Below are 5,901 nucleotides of genomic sequence, written 5' to 3'. Positions count from 1 at the left end.
TGGTCCAGCCAACTGGGCTGTGGCTAAAATTATGAGAACTAAGAAAATGGGGAGGAAATTGTGATTATGAAGATAATAATATGTACTAAAATCATTAATATTGCAATGTCACTATGAATAAATAGTATACAGTTATTCTGTTCCTCACATATTAAAAACAAAAAATCAACATAATATTATCACAACATGTGAGCTGCAACCTGATTTAAACCCATCATCAATACTTTCAGTGTAATGTCTGATCTAAAATTAACAGATTAGGTAAGAACAAGATTCCTGACTATCCATGAAATTCATCAGGTGTTTAAATGACCTGTGATATTAACTATTCCTCATTTCCAACATATTCCATTTGTACTTATACATATTCTTATAATTTCCTTCCCTTCCCAGTTTGCACCCACAATTCTCTGACAGAAAGTAGACATAAGAGGAAAACATGATTAACAGATGGATTATCACTGCAGTAAGAGGTGCCTGGGACGGACTTAGTTGAGGTAGGCTGTGGATTGAGAGAATATAGAGACCGGGGTATGTGAAATCGGAAAGCCCACAACTGTAGCAGAACAGAGTAAGTGGACTTTCACAAGAAATAGAATCACCACCATTATCTACCACATTTTCTCATGCTTACTGCTATTTAAGTGCCTCAGTTTCTATAAATCTTTCACAATTACAAAGCCCTAAATGGCTTCCCATCCTGCAATGATTTCATAAGGAGCCTATGCCACCTGTCATGTAAGGCTTTTTCCATGCCTAATAAATATGTTTTGGAGGGATTTCACCAGTGTTTCTGCTAAGATACATGCATAAAATGGCCACAGAGGTTGTGAGAAATCTCTGCAGTTTCTCTTTGTCTATACACATGAAAGTATTGAAGACCAGCACTTGGATTAGTTAAGATAATGTTTTAATTCATCACTGTCTCCTCCTCCCCTTGGTACCAGCTTTTATGTTCATTGCATTCCCCACCCTTTTAAGTACTCAGTACCTCCTGCATGGTAACCTATTCTGATATTTGATATTATCATGCTTAATTTGACTGAATCCATTTGGATATTTTATCTTTAAGAAATTTGTAGTTTTATACTTTTAATTTATGATAAAATTAGATTAATATCAAACATTAACAAGTGACTTTTAGGAAGGTATATGAGCTTTCTTATTGACTTCAAACTATAAAGTACAAACTGTGACACTAGAAATTTAGTCCTTTAACACATATTGTATTTATATGTGAAGTGGACGGTGAGCAGAAAACAGTGTTATATTTCTCTGTGTCCAGATGGATACTCACCTCAATCATTTTCCTATAGTAGAAAGTAGTTCCTGAAAACACTTAATAGAGATTATTTTAGAAGTTGCTGAGGTACAAATAAAACTGCTATGCTGACATCATACTTTTTTGCACCAACAACTCCAGTTCTTCTGACACAAAGGACCATCTTCCTAGTGCCATAATTTATCTTAGACCCCAAAACTCACAGAGGCACACATCATCTCTCTAATACTTGCTCACCACCACTGGCATGAGTCTCTCTCTATCCTCTTCTACGTGAAGTGATTATACTGTCACCTCTGGAGCTAACTGTCCACAGTCTCAAGATGCACACTTTTTACAACCAGAAGCCTATGGACTGGGTGAGGGAGCAGAAACAGCCACAGGTACTGCCCATCAGGGTAATGTAAGTCAGCGTGCAAACAACTGATCAGATGAACATGAATAGCAAGGTGCCGAGGCACTGGGAAGAGGGACCGGAAAACTCTATAACTGTTGAAAAAGACTCAAGCCCTTGGGAAGGGAAATGCCTACGGAATTATATAAAAACCATTTAATCCAAGTTGGTCATCATTCAGATGAAAAACATGAGGCCCAGAAAAGTAAACTGAGTTTCCAGAATTCACACAATTGATAGAATAGGAACCAGAATTCAGGCCTCTTGCTTCCTATTCCAGAAAGACAAATTGCAATAATAATCAAATAATATGAGCAATCATCCAGTAAAAATAATCTGGTAAAAACAGCAAAACTCAAAAGAGTGATTTTTCCTGGTTAAGACCAAAACTAACCATAGATTGCTATACATAGTATCTATTATAAATACTGAATTATATAGCAGCCTGACAATAAATACATAAAATGTGTACACAAAGATTATTGAACCTGTACAATACAGTAGTAAATAGTAACTTTATATTTGCAAAGTGACTGATCATTACTATCAGAATTTGTACCCATTCTTCATATTTTGTTGGTCATATAACCAGTTACTACAACTGCAAAAACAACCTAAGTTCATGTTTCTGTGAAGTCCATCCTTTTGGTCTTTAAATTTTATTATCCTCAAAGGTCAATTATGATCTCAATCTTTTCTTGTAATTTTACTGACAATTCTCCTTCACACTGATTAGTTCTTTCTCTAATTCCTGTAAATGGAAAGAACCAAAAAAAGTTGAAAAAACATGTATTGTACATATAACAAACAATCATATGTGGTATACAATATATATCAAATGAGTATTAAGATAAACATTCAAAGAGTTTTAAAGAAAAAAGTGTTATAGATATTGGAGGGCAGAAGATACAATTGCCATTAAGAACAGGTGGAGGAGGTTATGCCAAGGACATTGACCTGACCCTTTAGGAATTAGTGAAAATTGAATAGGAGAAGAATGAGGTACACAATGTGTGAAAAATACCTAAATTGATATAACAGGAGGAGACCTTTTCATATCAATTATCATTACTTCTGTGTATATAACCATATTAGATACCCACAAACAAATAGAAAGTGGATAGTTCTTGATTGACAAGTAAGACTAATAATCCCAGATCATAGTAAGGTCTTAACTTCAAGTCAATAATCTTTATTACTTATGGTTCATTCCTCTCCCTCATGTTTTCCAATAATTTTAAAATGCATAATTAAAACAATTCTCATTTAAAAACATAGTAGCCATGACTAATGATCTTCCAGTGGGAAGGTACTAAGACTTTACAACATGTTTCTTGCTGGGGATAAGACAGCCTACAGCCAGCATTCAACTCATTTTTCTAAAGTCTATGGATCAATTTGAAATACAGAAAAAGTAGAAGAGAGATAAAGTTAAAAAAAGATTAAAAATATGGGAAGAATGGGAGAAAGGGGAAATTAGAAGATATAAATAATGATTTAAAAATAAAAGAGCCTCAAAGGAGAAGAGAAACTGCTAAGCAAGACTAAGGTAGGATGAAATACAGTAGTCTCTGTTTCTGAGAACACAGGTTAAAAAGAACATAAATAAAATAAATTTATCACCTTTAATACACTCATTCAAGGATGCTACTGAGTTTGACTCTGGGAATTTCTCACCTTTAACACACTCATTTGGGGATGCTACGGACTTTGACATTGGGTTGCATTTAACGGGGGAGAGAAAGGGCAGTTGCTTCTATTATCTGCCCTGTTGGACTCACAGAGTTTCTTTGAAAAGCACAGATGATAATAAATGGAAATATTGCCTTTTATACTATACAATAATATACACATGCAATTCACTGGAAAAAGTATACTTGTTACTATGATTTGAGGATACTACCATATACTAATCAAGAGAAACACATGTACAGAACAAAGAAGCCACATGAAATTTTTACTAGTGTGTGTTTTCCTTGTGTTCTACCACCCCAGGAGCAGCTTCTGCTACTGAAGGTCACAGTAGAGTTATTTCCAAAAGTTGTGGGTCTGCAGGGTGGACTTATCACATAGCTGTTTGCCAAAATTCAAAAGTCCAGAAACCGTTTCCAAATTTTCACCTCTTTTATCTTCAAATCCTAAAACTATGAAAATTCACAAACTTAGCTCCATACATTATGGTAGAAAGGTTAATAATTTGGACTTTGAGGTTGACCAGGCCTGATTTTTGAATAAATTCACAAACTTACCTCCATACATTATGGTAGAAAGGTCAATAATCTGGACTTTGAGGTCGACCAGGCCTGATTTTTGGATCCAGGCTGCAACACTCACTTGCTGTGTTAACGTAACAAAGTTCCTAGACCATGCTGAGCTTCAGTTTACTTGTTATTGAATTAGGGATATAGCGTTCAAAGGAAGAAGTTCTAGTATTTGATTGCACAGCAGAGAAATTATAGTTATTGAACTGGGGATATGTAGATAGACATAATAAATTCTAGTATTCAATTGTACAATGGAGAAATCATAGGGAACAATAATTTATTATATATTCTAAAATAGCTAGCAGAGAAAAATTATAATGTTCCCAACACAAAGAAAAGATAAATATTCGAGGTGATGAATATCCAAATTACTCTGATTTGATCATTACACATTGTATACATGTATCAAAAATATCACATGTACCCCAAAACATGTACAACTATGATACATCAATAAAAAACAACAAAAAAACCAAAAGAATAGAAATCAAAAATAAATACATAAATACATAAAATAGGGATAATAATACCTCCCTTGCTTGCTTGCTCCCTTGCTCCATTTGTAAGAAATAAGTGATATAATATAGGTAAAAATACTTAACCTCATACCTACCACATAGTATAGCACAATAAACGTTATTTATTATAATCTGAGGGCTACCTACATAAGTGACTTTCAAGTATAGAAAATTATTTCTCAAATTTTAAATACTCCCTGATTCTCAGGTATGGTAATTAGACCTGGCTTTAGGTAAAGCTCTCATGTCTACACTTGGATTTAATCACTTAAGTATATTTCCCAGCACCCCCCGCAAAAAAAAATTGCTCCTAGGTGGACACACTAATCAAAGACTTCCTGAGAAATGCAGGAAGAAGTTTTGTCCTCTGACCACGCTACGCCCTTTCCTTGATGGTAAGCCCCATAATCTAAAGCCATAAGTTTCAATTCCTCACATAAAAAGAAAAAAAAAGTCTTTTATGACCACTTCAGATAACACTGGATATTTCCCTTGTCATTAGGAATGAGAAATGGGAGGAAGGTAAATTTGTAGACAGGAGAATTGGTAGATGCTTGAAAGGATTTCTGAAAACTGTGCCTATTCAGGTGTACAAATGTGTTGACCAGCCAAGGCAAAGCAGTCAAACCATACAATACCTTATCCTCAGGAAAATGGACTTTTCTCCCAAATTGCCTTTTTCATGAAAAATATAAAATTCTCCAGTTTCAACCTCATGTTAAATTTCACATGTGAAGAAAACAGTCATGCACATCAGAAAATTAAATGGCGAGTCAAGACCAAATTCCTAGTCACAGTTATGTTCTGTTTCCAGTATTACCTTCTCACTTATTCATTTTGTTAAAGTGGAGCCAAAATAGAAGTGGGTGTCACACATCAAGAAAGACTGAAGTCGTACAAAGCCGATCCTTATCCAACGTGCATTAAAATATGCATCAGGCATGTGTGATGCATATAGTAGAAGTGGAACAAATCAGGCCAGGTGCAGTGGCTCACGCCTGTCAGCCCAGCACTTTGGGAGGTCAAAGCAAGCAAATCGCTTGAGATCAGCAGTTCAAGAAGTGTAACAAATCCTCTACAATATAAGTAGAGTGAAAAGAGATAGCTACAGTGATGAGGGAAGGCACTATAGTGATGTGGCATTTGAGTATAGCCATAAAAGAGGATAAATATTACAATACATGAATATAGGGTCTAAAGAAGTCTTTTCAAGTAGATTGTAAAATATTTCAAAAATGGTAAGTTTGGTGTATGTTGAAGCATACAGATTGTCTACATCCTAAAAATCATTTTGGTGAAGAAAGGAAAATAAGAAAGGTAGTCAAGATTCATTTGTTGCCTATCATTAGAAACTTCTCAAAGGTATATGAGAATTATTAAATAAATTTAGGGAGCCAGTGAAGGTATGGGTCCCGGGAATTGAGGATGAAGCCAGTAATTAGG

At 34.9% G+C, this 5,901-nt stretch overlaps 1 long non-coding RNA gene across 1 annotated transcript; it reads right to left on the bottom strand.

The window, feature by feature from the left end:
* Positions 2,173–4,282, bottom strand: LOC105376730 (uncharacterized). Its single transcript, XR_932746.2, has 2 exons — positions 3,926–4,282; positions 2,173–2,427 (listed from the first exon to the last, which is right to left on the bottom strand). It is a non-coding gene; the product is annotated as an uncharacterized LOC105376730 (long non-coding RNA).
* Positions 4,283–5,901: the final 1,619 nt, after the last annotated feature.

The sequence above is a fragment of the Homo sapiens genome, chromosome 15, assembly GCF_000001405.40.
Source record: "Homo sapiens chromosome 15, GRCh38.p14 Primary Assembly".
In the NCBI taxonomy this organism is placed as follows: domain Eukaryota; kingdom Metazoa; phylum Chordata; class Mammalia; order Primates; family Hominidae; genus Homo; species Homo sapiens.
Note: the sequence above shows the minus strand (reverse complement) of the source record. Positions and strands in the feature narration are given on the sequence as shown.